This window comes from Homo sapiens, chromosome 1, assembly GCF_000001405.40.
Source record: "Homo sapiens chromosome 1, GRCh38.p14 Primary Assembly".
NCBI lineage: Eukaryota > Metazoa > Chordata > Mammalia > Primates > Hominidae > Homo > Homo sapiens.
This window is the reverse complement of record NC_000001.11, coordinates 75,213,846-75,235,034: the sequence shown is the minus strand read 5'-3', so window position 1 is coordinate 75,235,034 and position 21,189 is coordinate 75,213,846. Positions and strand designations below refer to the sequence as shown.

The window sequence follows — 21,189 nt, the reverse complement described above, 5'->3', positions numbered from 1 at the left end:
AAGATAACACTTGAGACAATAACTTAATAAATGTACTACACTCTGTCTGTTGCTATGTTTGGAAACTTACAGATAGCACCAGACATATCAGTTCTTAATAGAACAGTCAGCCAACTTTCCGATCTTAATGAGTTCTCTTTGAGGAAATTACATTAGAAGACTCCAATGTGACCTTAACCTGGATATATGGGAGGAAAAGAAGCTTCTCTAGTAGTTCAGTCAAGCTCTAAGAAGAAATTAAAGCTGACAGAAGATAGTCGTGCTGTTAATTGCTTGATAAAGTCACATGTCCCTGGAGACACAGAAGCCTTATCATGATTCCAAATAATGGCCCACAGATCACTGGGGAGCTGGAATAGAAGTCTGGATGACATAAGGCATCACAAACTCCTAGAGATAATTAGACCATAGTGATAATGACTACAGCATTATGGGCTCCGGGGATGGCCAGTTATTTTTCTTATCTTTCTGCCCCAAAATGATTCTCTTACTTCTAGATAGCCATATTATAGAAGATTTCCACCAGTCACTAAGTAAATGGAACAGAACAAATTCATCATGAATACATTTCACAATTTATGACCTAGTAGATAGGTAGGAAGGGAAAAAATAAGACATGGCAACTGTCTCCAATAAATCAAAATTGTAGTTGGAGAAATTGTATTTTTCCTTGAACAATGACTGATACTAGACTTCAGTTTACCCAGGTACATGAAGATGAGTTCTGTATAAAGTCCCTGATGATCCTATTCTTTCATATGAAAGTCTTAATGGAAATCATTGTTTACACTTTTTAACATTATTAATGTTTCTATAGCCAGGTAAAATAAAAGAATTTAAGAATAATTTTGAATAGAAAAAAAGTTTTGTCTTGATGTTTGTAATATGCTGTGTTTAGCACACTTGACCACTGTGTTTGTTGTGGGTTTTTTCTAGTGGCCTGACGATTGCCATGGTCCTTAGTTGGATATTTTTGATACTTCTGAGGTTCATAGCTGGATGCCTCTTCTGGGTCTTCATGATTGGTGTGATTGGAATTATAGGTTATGGTAGGTATCACTCCTCTTCAAATTATCAAATATCAGAATAATCCTTTTATTTTCAATCGCTGTTATCAGTTACCAGAAAGCATTTGTTTTCAGTGGATCTAATTATTCTTTACCCTCAAAAAAGCTTTAAACTTAGAAAAAATATTTCATTTTGCATATATTGTCTCTGTAACTTTTTCTTCCTGTATCTTTGGGGAAAAAATGCTGTCAGAACATTTTACTCTTTTCCCTACCAGCCTTTGGTCTCCTGCCTCATGGATACTAAGAAGGAGGTAAAAAGAAATCCTTTTAGATTAATGAAAAACATTTCAGACAACTTCTTTTATTTCTTTAACGTTTCTATCCGATCAAAGGCCAGGTCCGAAAAGTTACAGAAGTGTGATCTATTTTTCTCTTTCAACTTAGTACGTTTAATCCAGGTGCTGTCACACCGTTTAATAATTGGTACTCCACAATGAAGCATTGCCCTCTAGAGGCAAGTATTCCGAATTACACTTTTGTATGGAGAATTACAGTACTGTCTGTGGGAGCTAAATAATGTGTGGGAGCTAAATAATGTGTGGGAGCTAAATAATGAGTACACGTGGACGTAGAGTGTGGAGTAATAGACAGTGGGAACGTGGAAGGGTTGACGACTGGAAGGGGGTGGATAATGAAAAATTATTTAATGGATACAATGCATGTCATTCAGGTGATGGATACACTAAGAGCCACTATGCAATATATACATATAACACAATTATATGCGTACCCCATAAATTTATACAAATACAATTTTTAAAATCAAGGTTGAAATCTAATCACAAACTTGATCCCCCCAAAACAATACATATCAGGTATAATGTGAGCTCTACATATGAATTAAAGTGTCTCACGTGGAACAGTATATACCACCTGTGGAAGCTTCCTTTCAGTCTTCTAAAAAAGGTATGAGCCAATATATTATATGAATGTTTGAGATGTTTCTATTTAAAAGAATGATTTCCCCTACGGCACCATTTGGACTGACAACAGTTTTATGGTAGTAGACATCAAAAATAACAATCTCTTATTTCTGTCATTCAATGAAGAAGAGCTTTGCACATATAAGAATGCAGTTGAATCTGCAGGTTGTATAGTTAGCCTGTGTTCTAATCCAGCTCCATAACATACAACTGGGTAACTTTGGAAGTTTGTTGGTGGTTAAAAGACCTGGTATTCTCGTCTATAATATCAGCATAATAATGGTATCTTCATCTCAGAGGATCTTAAGGATTAAATGAGACAATGAATATAAAGCTCTTAGAGCAGTACCTGGAACACAGCTGACAATCAGTATGCATTGGGTTATTGTTATTACCCTCCTCATTATCTCCAATGAGTTTTTAGTAAATCATTTGGACTTCTCAGGTGTTCCCTATCTGCTCCTGCTGTACGGCTCCTCTTGCATCCCACCTGAGCTTCTTATTGAGCACAGCCAGGTAACAAATAAGAGGTGGATCAGTCTGGTCCAGGAACACAAGAACTTTCATGCCCTAATCAGAAACTGCAAAAAAAAAAGTTGTTTAAACATCTTGTTTTTGTGTTCCTGCTTGGAGCTTAAAATAAACTCTGCCCTTTGCCACTGGAGAGTCTGGGCTTGTGATTCAATCACTCTTGCATTGTCATCAGGAAGGAAAGGGCAGTAAAGTCTGCTATTGACTTAACTGATGTCTTAAGTAGCAAGAAAAATCTGAGATTGGCTGTAGTGCAGTTTTGACAATGGCAAAAAGGAGAAACATGGTCAACATATAAAAAGTGCAGGTAAAACAACTTAATTTTCGCTCCCTATTGACTCCCTAGATAGTATTAACCCAAAAATTAATGGTGTAGGAAGTAAGCTTGACAGTAATTTACTGAGGGAGGAAAGGTCCAGTTAGGTTGAGGAGTGTCAGAAAATAAGACTACATGTAACTGACCTCTGCTACTATCCTGGACAATTGACTTTCTACATATCATGAGAAACCAATTTTTTCTACTGAAATTTCCTACTGACAGCAGCCCATTTACTAGAGCAAATAACAATGTGGATGTGTCATACTGAGCAGAGAAAAAGCCAGACTGTTTGTGGGCAAGTGTTTATGAACAGCAATGGAACAATTCTCATTGGCCAGAACAGGTTAAGAGGTATACAGGAGAAGACATATAACACTTTGGTTTATGAGCATCTATTTAAGGTATGAAAAAGGCACGATCCCAGATTCATCACATATTAACTGTATGATCCTCTGCAAGCATACAGTTTTCTTTAATTCATAGGTTTCTCAATCATATAACAGGAATATGTGACTACTAAACAAAATAATGCTTATAAAGTACTTAGATTTTGCTAGCATATAGTAAATGTTCAATAAATAATGTCTATTTTTGTTGTTGCTGATATTATTGTTATTCAGGAATATTATTGAGGAAAGAGGACTTGAAGTCCAGAGATCATAATTTTTAAAAATCTAGGACAAGAGAGAGAAAGCAAAGAAAGAGAAATTGGAAAATATTGTCTAGACTTTCACATTCACTAGTAGGAGGAAAGTAAACTGTCTGAAGGGCCTTCTTGCTATGAAATCGTGACATTAAAAAGAGGATTGCGCTGTATTGTTTTATATAATACATTGTTTTGATAAACTTTAGGAAATAAAGGAAATCTCCTCCAAATGAAAAAAATAACTCATGAGCTAAAATCAAAGCGGGGAACCAAGCAGGAAGCACTGGGTAACCCATAGCAGTGCTGGGATCGGGAGACTTAGACCTGAGTTGGCAGCAGAACAGGGGATCATACCTGAAACTCCTGGAGTAAGTCTGGCATCCTAGAAATGTCTAAAATGACCCCAGTTTGTTAGTACCCTTTGACTGCCAAAATAAACAAATGTAAATCTCCTCTAGATGAAAGTTTCCTCAATTAACATCACCAGGTTTTCACAGATTCAGATCAATAAAGTCCGAGACTACCTGACCTGCAAGAAAACAGTTCTGTGTGAAAATCAGTGGATACTATAAACATGAGATTGAGGTCTCCAAGAATTCAAATATGGGAATTAATAGATATAGAACATGTAGCTGGCTGCAGTGGCTCACTCCTATAATCCTAGCACTGTGGGAGGCCGAGGCGGCCAATCACTTGAGGTGAGGAGTGGGAGGCCAACCTGGCTAACGTGGTGAAACCCTGTCTCTACTAAAAATACAAAAATTAGCTGGGCATGATGGTGCATACCTGTAGTCCCAGCTACTTGGGAGACTGAGGTGGGAGAATTGCTTGAATCTGGGAGGAGGAGGTTGCAGTGAACCGAGATCATGCCACTGCACTCCAGCCTGGGCAACAGAATAAGACTCTGTCTCAAAAGACAAAAACAAATCAAGAAAGAAAGATATAGAACATGAAATAACCATGCATGAAAGGTTTAAAGAATTAAAGATAGAATCACAGCCAGGTACAGTGGCTCACACCTGTAATCCCAGCACTTTGGGAAGCTAAGGCAGGTGGATCGCAAGGTCAAGAGATTGAGACCATCCTGGCCAACATGGTGAAACCCCGTCTCTGCTAAAAAAAATATAAAAATTAGCTGGGCATGGTAGCACACACCTGTAGTCCCAGCTACTCGGGAGGCTGAGGCACGAGAATTGCTTGAACTCAGGAGGCGGAGGTTGCAGTGAGCTGAGATTGTGCCACTGCACTCCAGCCTGGGTGACAGAGCGAGACTCTGTCTCAAAAAAAAAAAAGTGAATTCATTCATTCATGGACATGGAGTATCATTTATTAAAGGCTTGGGCAACAAAAATAAAAATCAACAAAAACGTCCAGGCATACATGAAGAAGAGCCATATAGAACTTTTCAAAATAAAAATGTTAGATTAAAAACTAATTGATAAGCTAAACAGCAAAATAGAGAATTAATGAACTGAAATATGAATCTGAAGTAATTACCAAAAATATAGCAGAATGTAACAAGGGGACAAAAATATGATTGTGTGGTTCAAAGAAATAGAAAATAGGTTGAGAAAGGCCTAACATATATCAACCATATTTGAAAGCTCTTGGCTGAGAATTTTCTAGAACCGATGAAACCATGGATCCATAGATATAGGAAGCCCTCATTATACTAAGGAGAGTAAAGGAAGAGAAATCCACATCTAGTCATACATTATTCTGTTTATTCAACAAATATCAATTGAACAGCTGCTGTGTACAGACACTATTTTAGACTCTTGATGTACAACAGTAAAGGAACAGACTAAGGTTCTTACTCTCATGATGCTCATAGCCTAAGTAATATATATCTTAGAAGGTGGTTATTGCTATGGAAAAAAGAAAAGGTAGAGCAGGTAAGGGGAGATTGAGAATGCCATGGTAGGGCAAGGAGTGAAAATGGCAGTATTAGCAGGAGGGCTCTTTTGGGGAAAATATCTAAGAAAACACTTGGAAGCAATGGAGTTAGACAGTTAAGATGAAGGAAAAGTTCCAGACAGTGGGTACAGCTGGAGCAAAGGCCTTATAACATAAGAGTGTGTTGAAGAAGTGGCTGAGAGCTTGGTGTGGATGGGTGTACTGAGTAAAGGAAAAAATAGTAGGAGATGAGGTCATAGAATTTATGAAGGGGGCAGAGCCTTACAGATTATTATAAAACCTAAGCTTTTACTCTGAATGAAACAGGGAGGCAATGTAGGGCTTTGGGTAGCAAAGAGATGAGATATAATGATTGCCCTAGTCCCTGTGTTGAGAATAGACCATGGTGAGGCAAGAGTGGAAGCAACGAGACCAGTAAGGAGATGATTGCAGAAATTTATATGCCAAATGAGAGAAACTCTTGAGGGTGGCCATACATGCTTTTATTTGTATAATAGCTGTATTTCCTGATGGATTGAATGCAGCTATGAGAGACAGAAGAAGGAGAATGATTCCACAGAAATATATGAGATGTAATACAAAAATAAAAAATAAAAAAAAGAAAACATAGTGAGCAAAGAATATAAATTAGTAAGCTTTTAGGTAAAGCTAAACAAACTTTGCCTGCATAAAATAATAATTGCTTTAGACATTGGACACTAAAATTATTATTTTATGCAGGCAAAATTTGTTTAGCTTTACCTACATGCTAACTAATTTATTTAAAATGTACATAACAAAATTATTGAGCAATAATTAGAGTGGGTGATTATTGAGTAACTAAGGTCTTGTATTTCCTTGTTAACATATTGACTCTAGGCTTATTAAAAAAAGAACAGATTTTCAAGGTAATCTATTATAAAAATAGAGTAGATTGCTCAAAAAGAGTAGAGAAGAAAAATGGAATATAAGTAAACAAACAAAAAATCATCAATTTTTAAAAGACAAGAATTGGAAGAAAAGAAGTATAGACACAAAGTAGAATACGAAAAGCAAAATTAAGAACATAGAAACAAATATAAATATATCAGTATATAAAGTATAAATATGTTAAACTCACCAATTAGAATACAGAGATTGTCAGGTCAGATTAAAATATACACATACAAATTGGAGCTATAAATTATTTATAAAAGTTATACAACATGTAAGGAAACAGAACATTTGCAAGTGAAGGGATGGAAAGAATATACTAGCAATCAATAACAAAAGAAAGTGGAAGAAGACATAATATCAGACAAAACAGATTTTAGAATGACAATGTTATGGATAAAAATGATTTAGTTCACTAAAAATATGCCAACCCTAAACTTGTTACATCTATTAAAATAACCTCAAAAATCATAGAATTGCAAGGATAAATAAATAAATGGATAATCATAAATTCGTATTAGGTATAAACCTTAGGAGGAGTTTTTGACGCATCTTTCTACTGAACAAATATATCATGATGTCTTACTGATGGACATTAAGGTCATTTCTAGTCAAAAGGACATTTAAAGCCAGATGTTGCCATAATTATCAAGACAAATACTGAAAACATTTATATCAAATACAGTAGCATGTTTAGACTATTGGATCCAAATAAAATATTTGCTGTGTAAATATGTGTCTTGCCTTTGCAGAAATTACCATGCTGATCAGTTTCATATAGATATGTATGATGAGCACATATAGCTCCTATTTCAGAAAATCATATTTTATATTATTCTGTTTTTCTTTCTTTTTCAAGGAATATGGCACTGTTACCAGCAGTACACCAATCTTCAGGAACGCCCAAGTTCTGTATTAACTATCTATGACATCGGGATTCAGACTAACATAAGCATGTACTTTGAACTGCAACAAACATGGTTCACATTTAGTGAGTATTTTAAAAACTGGTTTCATTAAAATTGTAATAATGAGAAAATATCTTTTTGCCTAAAGGAAAACTTGGGTTGGTATAACCTGTTAAATGTATTTATCACTAGTGTCATAAAAAGTAATGTGTCTATAATCCTCTAACTACAGTAAGTGGAAAAGTCATTGAGGAAAATTTATTGTATAATCTAAGAAAATGCTACCTTACAAGGACCTCAAGCCATTTGCCTTCAAATTAAAATTGTTTGGTTGTAGACATTTATAGGCATTAACCTGAGGTCTAAGAAAGATGTTTAAAAAGAAACAAATGCTTGATTTTTCAAACTTTTTATTTATTTATTTATTTATGTATTTAATTTTCTGAGATAGGATCTTGCTCTATCACCCAGGCTGGAGTGCAGTGGCACAATCATGGCTAACTTCACCCTTGACCTCCCAAACTCAAGCAATTCTACCACCTCAGCCTCCCAAGTAGCTAGGACCACAGATGTGTGCCACCATGCCTGGCTAATTTTTTAATTTTTTGTAGAGATGGGGTCTCCCTATGTTGCCTAGCCTGGTCTTGAATTTCTGGGCTCAAGTGATCCTCCCACCTCAGCCTTCTAACATGCTGGCATGAGCCACCGTGCTGGCGTGAGCCACCGTGCCCAGCCTGAAACTTGTTTTTAAAAAAGAAAAAGGAAAAGGAAAAACAAGCAACAATTTTTCATAACAAAACATTTAAACCACTTATAGGAATTATGAGTAATAAGTATCTGAAAATAAATTTGCATTTTTGAAGTGTTTCTTCAAGGTTTTTAATTTCTTAAGGATATTTTTTAATATTAACAAATGTAAATATTTATTTAAATGTAACAAAATTTTTTAAGCAGGATGATTTTAGTGATGGTTTTAATCTTATATTCCTAGAATGGTGTTATTGTAATACTCCTTGTAAGATTTGTGTTCTTTAATCAAGATTTTCAAAATAATCTCTAACTACATGTTGCTTTAAAAAAAAATCATCTTTATATTCTTGAAGTTAGAGAGCCAGACAAGACACATTCAAGGAAGCCTGGTAAGAAGCCCAGAAAGAACCTCAGAAGGGAGCAATATCTTGGTGGGGCATCATGATTACAGGCATGCGTCCCATTCCCATCAATTTGAAAACTTGACTTTGCCACTTCATTCAAGGATACTCAGGCTTTCAAGGACAAGCTCATGTTAAGTCACCAAAGCACCCTACATTTGTTTACATCATTAGGATAGTCTCCTGGTGACCAAAGTGCAGACATTTTCCATATAGGACACTACCTTCCTGGGATCAGAGCACCTGGAAAGCAAGATTACCAATCAGAAGCTATTTTAGCAAAGGGGCTCAGACAGCGGTGGGAGATGCTTTCCTCAGATGATGCCAACCTTGATGACCTAGCTGAGCAGCACAGATGTCCCTCCCAGATTCCTTCTCCACCGCATTTAGTTTTTCTCTTAAAAAAAAAAATACTGTATCAAACTCCAACTTCTTACTGTTTGGCTTCTCATTTCTAGCTCTCATGCAGACTAATATCCTTCTCTGACATCTTTTTTCCAAATATGTTATGGAATTGTTTCATTTATACCTTTTCCTTTTTAACTGCAAAAATCAGCCGTCCTCATCAGGATCAGGGAATTGCATCCTCATCATTTTTCCTGAATTTAAATGATTCCACATCTCTTCAGCAACCTGCTTACTGTTGTCTATTATTTCTAAAGGTGACAAATGTCACCCATTATGTATTGAAACTTCTAGTTTTACTCTTGGATGGATCTTAGTTACGGGTTCTGTGCCCACCCCCGGCTGTCTCATAAGACCCTTCCACACAAACGCCATTGAGGAGATCAGAATCTGCCATTGGAAAAGTAAAGAGATGTACCTTTAGGAAAATACAGAGCTTAATAGAATTTTCAAGTCTAGGAATACTGATAAATAAGCCTCCGCTTTCATAACTCACTTTTCAGATTTTAATTGATTACTTGCTCTGTGTTTGGACAGAATTCTAGGTACCAAAAACAAAAGCATATATGTGAAATTACACTCATTAACACAAACACTGAAAGTAGGCAGAGTTATAAATACCAAAATTGTAATTTTATGAGTTCTATTTTGTGTTCGGAGATGGTTCTATTCACATCTCTGCTATTAACTAACTATGAATTCGTGTATATCTCTTAGCCCCCAGGTGCCAGTCTCATCCTTTGTTAAGTTACAGTTATACTAATGACTCTATAGGGCATCGAATATATTTATATTATTTACTCTTATTCAAACAAAAGAGGGGATATAGGATAGTCATGTGTTGCTTAATGAGAGAAATACGTTCTGAGAAATGCATTGTTAGGCAATTTTTTCATTGTGTAAACATCATAGAGTATCCTTATGCAAACCTAGATGGTATAGCCTACTACACTCTTAGGCTACACGTAATGGCCTATTGCTCCTAGTCTACAAACCCATACAGCATGTTACTCTGCTGAATACTGTAGGAAATTGTAATACAATGGCAGGAGTTTGTATATCTAAACATAAGAAAGATACAGTAAAGATATGGCATAAAAGATTTTTTAAAATGGTACCCGTGTGGAGAGTGTTTACCATGAATGGAGCTTGCAGGACTGGAAGTTGTTCTGGGTGTCAGTAAGTGAGTGGTGAGTGAATGTGAAAAGAATTACTGTACACTACTGTAGACTTTATAAGCACTGTACATGTAGGCTACAATAAATTTATTAAAAACTTCCTTCAATAATTAACCTAAGCTTACTATAACTTTTACTTTATAAATTTTTAATTTTTTTAACTTTTTGACTTTTATAATAACATTTAGCTTTAATTTTTGACTCTTTTATAATCACACGTATACAAACAGCTGTACAAAAACATCTTCTTTCTTTACATTCTAATTCTAAAAGCTTTTTCTATTTTTAAAGTTTTTTTTTTTTTTACTTCCAATATGTTTTGTTAAAAATGGAGGCACAGGCCAGGTGTGGTGGCTCATGCCTATAATCCTAGCACTTTGGGAGGCCAAGGTGGGAGGATCATTTGAGCCCAGGAGTTCAAGACCAGCCTGGGCAACAGAATGAGACCCTATCTCTATTTTATCTAAAAAATTAGAAACAAAAAATTTAAAATTTAAAGACACAAATACATACATTATCCTAGACCTACACAGGGTCAGGATCATCAATATCACTTTCTTCCACCTCCACATCTTGTCCCACTGGAAGGTCTTCAGGGACAATAAAAAACATGGAGCTGTCATCTCCTATTATAATTATGCCTTCTTCTGGAATATTCCTGAAAGACCCACCTGAAGCTATTTTACAGATAACTTTTTTTATAGTAAGTAGTGGGAGTACACTCTGAAATAACAAAAATTATTGTGTAGTAAATACATAAAACAATAACAAACTCATTCATTATTAGCATCAAGCATTATATGCTATACCTACTTGTATGTGCTGTACTTTTATATGACTGTCAGCACAATTGGTTTGTTTACACCAACATCCCTCCAAACACATGAGTAATGCATTGCACTACCATGCCACTGGGCAATAGGAATTTTTCAGCTCCATTATAATCTTACAGGACTGGCATTTTATATGAAGTCCATTGTTAACCAAAACATTGTCAGGCAGTGCATGACTGTATGTAAGTTCAAAAGACAGTTATATTTCTCTAATGTAATTATTTTGAGGGTGCAATTTTATAAAGGCAGAAGTTAGATATAGAGGGTTTTTTAACGGTGCAATGTCATAAAGTGACTCTTACATGTATTATCTTTATAGGTTCATTCAAAGAAGATAACAATTTTAGCATAATATGGTTACATGCCACAATTTTGGGTTCAAATTGGTGTTTTAAGAGAATAAAATGTACATGAAAACATAAATACATAGTATAACTAAAGGAAGATGTAGAAGTGAGATGATACATTACTAAGATCTTCGTATACCTCTGGGTGAACTTCTGCTTACTCGGAGACAGTAACTGATGTGTGATGTGTCAGAATTTCAGTGATATAATAATAGAATGAAATAATGAGCTCTCCATCAACAGAACTGTTCAAGCATGAGCTAAATAACCATCTAGCAAGGAGGTTATAGACTGGATTCTTTCACAAGTGGGAATTTAAGTTTCCATTAAGTTCCTTGAACAATTTTAGATTCTGTTTCTGGATTTTAAGATCCATACCTTTTACTTTTTAACACTTCTGAAATCAGGATGCATCTTAAAATTATTAAACATTTAATGAAGTGTTTCTTCACTTTTCCTAAAAAGTTATTATTTAATTAAGGATATGTCTTAGAAATGAGGAAATATAATAATTGATGATATTTGGCTTCAAGTTTAAAAAAAACTAGTTCAAGCTAGCTGAAGAGAAAAGAAAACGGGAACAGGCTGAGAACAGAGCAGATGGTATTTACTGTAAGGATATAGAAGTGCCTCGTCAAACTCAAAAAAGCAGAAAGGTAGCTGGACTTCAAAGTTTACTTGGAGTCAGGAAATGAAAGCCAAAAAGAACCCAAGATTTCCTCTCCTTGCTGTCTTTCTTTATACAACTATACTTTATTCTTTCTCTGCAGATTCACTTATTTCACATAAAGATGGTTTTGACGCAGTTTGTATAACCTTCAATTCAAGATTTATAAATTTCAATTCAAGACTAAATAAATCAAGTTGACTAAACTAGGTTCCCTCAGTTTAAATTCTAATACTTATATTGGCCAAGTTGGGTTAAGTTTACACCCCGATTCCATCAATGGTGCCCATAGTGCGAAGAGTCACAAATTAATAATGGGACAGCCAAGAACCTGCCCTGCCAGCCAGCAAGGACAGTTAAGTGGCATTATGAGGAAAGTGAACAGCTCAAAACGTGTCTTCTGTATATTGTCTTACTTAATGAACTAAAGGTGAAAACATCTAAAATAGAACTACCTAAAGCAGCCCTTCCCTTTTTCCATTCCTATTTTCTAAGTTCTACAAGTTGTGTGAAATGCTTTTATGGATGAGATGAACCCTTTCCAAAAGAGATGTTCAAGCCCTTGCTAAAGGCTTTAATCTAGATTTCTTAGGATTTTGTGAAAGTTAATTTCGAAGATTGGCATTTTTGGAGAGATAACACTTCTTAGATTATGAGGTGTCAGAATTGGCAGAAATAATCATAAAGTTCAATCCTAGCATTTGCAGGGAAGGTTTGTTTCCGTATCTACTTGTATTACAGACTGATTTTTTTTTTCCTGTTCAAAGTGATAATACTCTGCATCATTGAAGTGATTGTCATCCTCATGCTGATCTTCCTCAGGAATCGAATCCGAGTCGCCATTATCCTGCTGAAGGAAGGAAGCAAGTAAGGCCCTTAATGTAGAAACTCAGCTAAAGTGTATCAGTCAGTAAAATCAGTCACTGTCCCTTGCATAAATATCTCACCTATTTTCCTTTTAAGAACACTTTTTGCTGGGCGCGGTGGTTCACACCTGTAATCCCAGCACTTTGGGAGGCCGAGGCAGGCTGGTCACCTGAGGTCGGGAGTTCGAGACCAGCCTGACCAACATGGAGAAACCCCGTCTCTACTAAAGATACAAAATTAGCCGGGCGTGGTGGCGCATGCCTGTAACCAGCTACTTGGGAGGCTGAGGCAGGAGAATCACTTGAACCGGAAGGCAGAGGTTGCGGTGAGCTGAGATCGTGACATTGCACTCCAGCCTGGGCAACAAGAGCAAAACTCTGTCTCAAAAAAAAAAAAAAAAGAAGAAGAAGACTTTTAAAAGAAAGCATCTTCCATTCAGGAAAACTTGTTCAAGTTCACACTCTGTCACTTATTAGAAAGATCACCACTAACAAGTCCTTTAATATCCCCAAACCTCAATAATCATTGGGTAGAATAAGGGTAAAACCTATTTAGTCTACGTATTAGCAGTTTTTGAACACCAAATATGTGTTAGGAGAATGACACATGTGAAAGTAAGTGATAAAGTGCTATATAAAAGTTAGCTAGATTACATGTAATATTATTTTCATACTGGGTCATATGTTCATATTAATGGTTGAGATCATTTGCAAAACTTTAAATCACCATAATTCTATAAAGTCAATTATATGCTATTGCCACTTCTGTCTGAGTGACATAATTTTCTAATAGACAGGACAATTGATTCTAGGAGCACCAGACTATACATTTCATATCTAAAGCCCATAATTTAGGAACACTTTATACCAAGAGTCATTTTTATTTTTTAAAAGTTACAAAATAAACACTAAATCTTTCATAAAATTCATGCCAAGAGATAATAACACCTATAGTTTCCACACTATTCCAAAAGGTCATTCAAGAATAATACTGTGAACTTTTTAATAACGCATGGAAGTAACCGGGAAAGCATTATTATAAAGCCAACAGCCCATGCTCTCTATTTAGTGTGATGGAAACTACATTGTTAATGACCAAGAACCAAATTATTTTTAACAGTCTTTAAGGATTATTTGAAGAAAATTACAGTATTATTATTTTTATTATAATAGTGCCACCTGAAGTCAGTGGTTTAAATAGTTAACAAGCAGTTAGTTAAACTCTCTCTCCTTCCCACAATAACCTATCATTAGCCACTGAAAACTACTGATTTTCTGGGTTTATTTCTTAAGTAGTATGATATTGTGCAGTTCACTGTAACTTGCTCTACTTGTTTCACTTCTAAATGTGCATTTGTGTGAGCATATGTGTTTGTGTTAAAGGGCCAGTAAAACTGAAACATGTTGGTAGTTTGCTCAGGGGGTAATAAGGACTGAAATAAATAGGTGTGAGAATACAGGGTAAACCTAAGGACACACAATAATTCACTTAGCAGTGTATGGAGAAAAGAGAAAACACTATAGATTAAATAGTGAGGTGAGGAAGGTAGCAAATACAAAAAAATCTAAGCATCAATGCATTAGGAGTGATAAGATTTTCATCTTATTTCTCAATGGCCATATGAAACAGTATTGTGTTTAATCCAGTGTCATATGCTGAAAAGATCATGTAACAGAAGTCATTAGAAGTGATGCAGTCAGTTAGTGAACATTTCACAAGCCATGTCCTATTAGAAAATATCAAAGAAATTATTATCCTTGATAATTATATTTTCCAAAATTGCATTTTAGAAATTATATTTTCAAATATAATTTAAATTTATAATTTAAAAATACATTTAACTGCAAATAGACATTATATTTTCCAAAGAAAAAAGAATAAGGAATTACCTGAAGTGTTGCTATGTGGAAAAAATGGTAAAATGGTCATTTCTTCCCCAGAAGTTAGAGGATATAGGTTGCAAACAGGCAGATAATGAAGAAATTTCTAATACCTTGATAAGAAAATAGAATAAGCCATGTCATGTAAAAGTAAGTACCCATCACTCAATGTGTTCACCGAAGGGTAGTGAACACATTCTGAAGAAGTATAGGGGATTCTTGAATTAGTGGGGAATTCCCTCAGTGTGACACATGATCTTCAAGGTCTTCTTCAATTTTAAAAGTCTAAGAATCTAAACGAAAGGAAGAAATGCCATGATTACAATGTATCAAATCAGACAGTAGTAACCAAAGGGAGGAAAATTTGAGGGACTTTAGGCAGGAGTCTAACATGTGCATCGGAAAAATGCCTCAACGTACTTTTAAAAAAAGTAAATAAATAAATAAAAATGTAAAACCAACTGAGAATATGCCAGAATGATCACCAAAAAAGAGTCCGTGGTTATTACCAGTTTTCTTAGAATCAATTCAGTCTAAAGCTTATTTCTAGTTTTAACAATTGAATTTCAACTATTTGTTTTATTTCAGAGCCATTGGATATGTTCCTAGTACATTAGTCTATCCAGCTTTAACTTTCATTTTGCTCTCAATCTGCATTTGCTACTGGGTCGTGACAGCAGTGTATCCTTTGGTAATTGGCCTCTTTAAACCTCAGGTTCACATGACTACTCGTGAACCAGGAGTTTGTGTTCAGTGTTTTCTATCCCTGGGAAGATGAGGAATGTACTAAGAAATAACTATTTTTTTCCCAAGCTCTAAAAACGTTTCAATCTACCGATTGAATTTCCCCTCAAATAGTTCATATTGTAGATTTGTTTTATTTTGTCTCCACATGATACTGCTCCTTAGCAATAAGCCAAGAAAGCTCCTATACATTTTACTGTTTTTAAGGGGCCACTCAGTGCAGCTGGCCCACATTACATTAATCTAGGCCTGAAAAATAGATGAATATTATTAAAATATTAGGCATTTTTTAAGTTAATTTCTCATGCACTTTTGAGTTGTCAGTATTGTTTTCTTGTCCATTTATTTTCAATCTACCAGCAAATGGTTTATCCTTAATGGAGTTTATTCAGTTTCTTGGCGACATCGGGGGTACCTGTATACAAAGTCATAGCTCCAGGGGGGCATTGTATACATGAAAATCAAACCTGTGACCCAGAGGTAAGTACAAGAAACTCTTTCATTTACTTACTTCAATATAGACTTCTGCTGCAATTCATTTTGTAGTTGTGGTAGGAATTGTCCCGAAGCAGAGATCCTATACACTGATGGGGACAACTATGTGCTGAAGTGGGGAGTGTGCATCAGGTAAGCAGGAGAGTATGGAAAACAGTGGGTGGAATGGAGAGAAAGCACTGTATTTCCTGAGCTTGCCTGCCCTACCATATACCCAAGACCATAGAAAGTAGGTATGGTCAACAACAACACTGATAAATGTGAAATTATAGTGGGTGCAGATTATGAGCATTTGATGAAAAATGGGATACTTTCCAGCACTCATTAGATAATTATATAAAGTGATATAACAGAAAATAGAGGAGTAAGAGCAGGAGCTAACAGAGAAACAACAGGATATGCAATTAAGGGGAAGAGGAAAACACAGGGAGTTGTTATCTTGGAGTGATATTTAATATTATGTCCTTGTGTTCCTTTTTCTCAATGCAGATTTTTAATACAACTGAAATTGCCAAAGCTTGCCCTGGGGCTCTGTGTAACTTTGCTTTCTATGGTGGAAAGAGCTTGTACCATCAGTACATCCCTACCTTCCATGTATACAACTTATTTGTCTTTCTCTGGCTTATAAACTTCGTCATTGCATTAGGTCAGTGCGCCCTTGCTGGTGCATTCGCTACTTATTACTGGGCCATGAAAAAACCTGATGACATCCCACGATATCCACTTTTTACTGCATTTGGACGAGCCATACGGTAAGTTTCAAGTTGAAGCCTACACCTATCTTGTCAGTTACATTTAGTGTGCTTGTAATTCAGTCTTGGCTCATTAATTCAAGTGGCAAGGTACAAATGAAATCAAAGGTATGAATCAAAATTCATGGATGCCCATTGGTTTTGTCTGGTTTCATAGCCAGTTTTACAATCCCTACCCAAGCCAATTTCCTTCTAAATGCTATAGGTTACTAGAGAGAGAAAAAGATAGAGGAGGATACCAAATGAAAGATCAAGGATTAACTTGGCTCTGTGTCTCCATTGAGCAGTAAAAACATCCTATTTTATGATGATAGACTATTGGTGTCATTTATGCTGATAAAGGGTAAGACAGATGTATATGGTTTAAAATCCTCTATAGAGACTTTTATCAATCTAAATAAGAGAGTGCAAAAGTCTCTTTGCTGTTAATCCTTCTGCAGATACCTTTTACTTGTGAAAATTATTCAATTAGCATCCCCTTAAATAATAGTATTAAGTTTTAACTTATTCTCATTTTATTTTTGTGCAGATATCACACAGGATCCCTAGCATTTGGATCTTTAATTATTGCATTAATTCAAATGTTTAAAATTGTACTAGAATACTTGGACCACCGTCTTAAACGTAAGATTTCAGATGTCCTGACTTTTGTGAAGATAATAAATTGGGTTGGGGGTTGGGGGAGACCTGATGATTATAACTTGGACTAGGGTAGTAAGGATGAAAGGGCATATTTGGGACCCGTTCTGTTCTGAAGGAAAACCAGAGAGAGCTTGCTGAAGGAGTTGATGTCAGGGGAGGGGAGGGACAGTGGTGAATAAAAGAGAGAAAAGGTGTGTGATCCTATTTGTTAAGCTGTGGAAGCCAGAAGAAACAAATTTCAAAAAGGAGATTAAGAATTCTGTTTTGAGATGTTATTGTTGAGAAGCATGATGGAGATGTCAGGTTGGCAGTTCCAAGTATATAGTTCAGGTCAGGTTAGGCTTAAAATATAAATGTGGGTGTCACGGGCATAAATCTTCATACCTGATATATATTGTTTACAAACACATAAACTTTGCTTGGAATGTACCTTAAAATATTTTATTACTAATATTGGAAAAAGACTTGAAAAGGAACAAAAAAGCTGGAAGACTCATACTTCCTGATTTCAAAACTTATCATAAATCTACAGCAATCAAAAGAGTGTGGTACTAGCATAAGGACAGACATATAGAGGTAAAATAAAACAGAAATCCCAGAAACTAACTCTCACATATAAGACCATTCAATGGGAAAAGATCAGTCTTTTCAACTAATGGTGCTGGGAAAATGGGATATCCACATGCAAAAGAATGAAGTTCAACCTTATCTTACATTAACATACAAAAATTAACTAAAAATGGATCAAAGACCTAAACAAAAGCACAAAAACTATAAAACTCTTAGAAGAAAACATAAGATGAAAGCTTCATGACATTGGATTTGGTGATTATTTCTTAGATAGTACACCCAAAGCATAGGCAACAAAAGAAAAATAAATTGAACTTCATCAAATTTAAAAACATTTATTCAACAAAGAACACTACCAAGAGAGTGAAAAGACAGCCCACATGATGGAAGAAAATATTTCCAAATCATATGCCAGATAAGGAATTCATATCCAGAACATAAAAGAACTTCTACAACTCAACAGCAAAATAATAAGCAACCCAGTTCAAAAATGGACAAAGAACTTGAATAGATATTTCTCCAAAAATGATATACAAATGGCCAATGAGGACATGAAAAGATGCTTAATATCACTAGTCATTAGGGAAATGCAAGTCAAAACCACAATGAGACTCCATACACATTAGAATGGCTATTATATATATATAAAAACAAAGAAAAAAGCAGAAAATAACAAGTGTTGGTAAGAATGTGGAGAAATTGGAACCCTGTGTATTGCTGGAGGGAATGTCAAATGATGTAGTCACTGTAGAAAACAGTATGGCAGCTTCTAAAAAATTTTTAAATATAATTTTATATGACCCAGAAATCCTATATCTAGATATACATGAAAAGAATTGAAAGAAGGAACTCAAACAGATACTTGCACATCACTGTTCATAACAGCATTATTCAGAATAGCCAGAAGGTATAAACAACCCAAATTCCAATTAACAAATGAATAAACAAAATGTGTTATGTACACACAATCAAATATTATTCAACCTTAAAAAGGAATGAAATGATGACCCTTGACGACATCATGCTAAGTGAAATAAGCAAGATACAAAAGGGTAAATATTGTATGATTCCTCCTATTTGAAGCACCTAGGAGAAGCAAATTTATACAGACAAAAAATATAATGGAGTTTACTAAGAGCTGGGGGAATAGGGGAATGAGCAGTTACTGTTGAAGGGCATAGAATTTGTGTTTGAGATTTTAAAGTTCTGGAAACAGCAGTGATGGTTGTACAACATTATAAATTACTCAGTGCCACTGAACTGTACACTTAAAAATGGTTAAAATGGCAAATTTTATATTATGTATATTTTATAACAATAAAAAATTTTAAATCTCATTTTAAATGTTGTATTATATTTATTTTGACTGATAAGGTTCAGCTGCAAATCATTAATAGATTTAAATATCTCCTTCTCATAGGTACCCAGAACACATTGTCTAAATTCCTACAATGCTGCCTGAGATGCTGCTTCTGGTGTTTGGAAAATGCAATAAAGTTTTTAAACAGAAATGCCTATATTATGGTAGGTAGATTATTTTATTATTTACTAAGCTGCTTCTTTGCAATCCCAAACCTTGTGTCTACATTGCCCTCTCTAAAGTACTTTTACTTCATGCAGTTGAATTTATCACTATGCTGATATAAGGCCTGTGAATCCAATGCATGATTCAGGGATATGCTTCCCTAGTTGAGATAGTATCTGAACTATACTTTATTATTACCTTCAATATCTTTTTTGAGAGAAAAAAATATTACACACTTTGGAAACTTATAAGTGTGTTGGATAAAAAATGGTTTTGTGTGTCTTTGGCATAGTTTAGTGGGAAGAAAGAGTATTTAATCTATGTTTTACTCTGAGAAGAAAATACTTTCTAATTCTGGAATTTACATAATTTTAAAGAAGGGTCTTATCCTTTTTATGAATCTTGTGTTGAAATGTGTGGACATTGACAATGTTTGACTGAGTTTTACTTGTTTCCTATGGCTATATGGAAATTCCTAAATATTTTTTTTTAACATAAGGGATCCAGAAATATAATTCTTCTAACCTTTAGAAAGCTACAGTATAACCTTATGACATTTGCTTGTTATCACAGTAGCACAGGGTCTGGAAAAGTGATTGAAATAGTTATGGAGATTCAAACAGTCATTAATTTACCTCCAATGAGAGTATTATGTTAAACCTATTCATCAATAAATCAAATTTAGTGAAAGGTATTGGGTTTCCTTAAGAGTAATTTTTTATGTAGAGACTACAATATTTAACCTTTTTAGCAATAAACTCTAGCCCAAACATTTTAAAGACAGAAGCCATTATCTGGAATTTGGGAAAAAGAGCTGCCTCTGTTTAAGGCTGTCTAATCCCCCAGAGTTTGAGGGCATACAGTATCGGAAGCACACCTGACTGTCAATGACACTGAGAGTTGTGTAGAGCTGAGGACACACAGTGTGTCCCACAAATACACATTAGAAAAAAGAGTGGAGATAGCTCTACAAATGACAGGAATTAATTTGGTTACCTTCCTGTCATTGGATTGTCTTTTGATCTTGTTAGAGTATGTTACTGGCTCCAGAATAATAGCCACTGTCTTCCTCAGATTGCAATATATGGCAGAAACTTCTGCAGGTCAGCAAAAGATGCTTTCAATCTGCTGATGAGAAATGTTTTGAAGTAAGTAATCAGGCTGCACAATGTAATTTAACAATGTAGTGAACCTTGAGCATTACATCCTTTACATGTTGTTATTTAAAGTGTTGGTGGCATTATTGGATATGAATATTATCTTTTAACTTGATAGATTTAAATATTCTCTCTCATACCATTAATTTATTTTCATATCTGAGAATTGTTGCTTCCATTACCCACCTGTGTCTTTAGGTCCATTGGCATTTTTTCATTTTTATTATCCCCTCTGCTCAAGAAATTCCCCCAGATGAACCACATTATCATCTTTCCCCCTCCCAGAATTGGTGGAGCCTGAGTGAACAAAATCAGAGAACAATACAGCATCCTCAGGACTCAGGGTGTCTATAGGCTTCAAATCAGAGAGGCTGACACCACCACTGCAGGGCTCCTGACAGCCCTACAATGCCATCTTCTGTTTACATTAAAAATAAGTCAGAACATCATCCATGAGTTCCACCATCATTTCTTGCAAAACAATTGCCAAATACAATTTCAGCAAAGACACACCAAAATAAACTCATGAAAATTTACTGCCATAAATTTCAAGTACCAAGTATATTTTAAACACAGAATTATACTTTCTTTTTTTCTGATACTCAGAGTTGCAGTTACAGATGAAGTTACATACTTTGTATTATTCCTGGGGAAACTTCTAGTTGCTGGAAGTATAGGTAAGTAATCATGATGAAAATAATAAAAAAAAAAGTTTAAAAGATGCTTGGAAAAACTGCTTTACTACAAAAA

At 35.1% G+C, this 21,189-nt stretch overlaps 1 protein-coding gene across 13 annotated transcripts in view; it reads left to right on the top strand.

Annotated features, from left to right (window-relative positions):
• Positions 1-21,189, top strand: part of SLC44A5 (solute carrier family 44 member 5) — a 521,887-nt gene that overhangs the window by 488,981 nt on the left and 11,717 nt on the right. For all 13 annotated transcript variants that reach the window (XM_047449166.1, XM_017000608.2, NM_001130058.2 and 10 more), the window contains 10 exons: positions 937-1,049; positions 7,178-7,309; positions 12,575-12,674; positions 15,143-15,235; positions 15,691-15,778; positions 16,283-16,545; positions 17,075-17,169; positions 19,178-19,281; positions 20,357-20,430; positions 21,046-21,116. In XM_047449166.1, the coding sequence (XP_047305122.1) occupies positions 937-1,049; positions 7,178-7,309; positions 12,575-12,674; positions 15,143-15,235; positions 15,691-15,778; positions 16,283-16,545; positions 17,075-17,169; positions 19,178-19,281; positions 20,357-20,430; positions 21,046-21,116 (1,133 nt within the window). The remainder of the gene's footprint in view (positions 1-936; positions 1,050-7,177; positions 7,310-12,574; positions 12,675-15,142; positions 15,236-15,690; positions 15,779-16,282; positions 16,546-17,074; positions 17,170-19,177; positions 19,282-20,356; positions 20,431-21,045; positions 21,117-21,189) is intronic.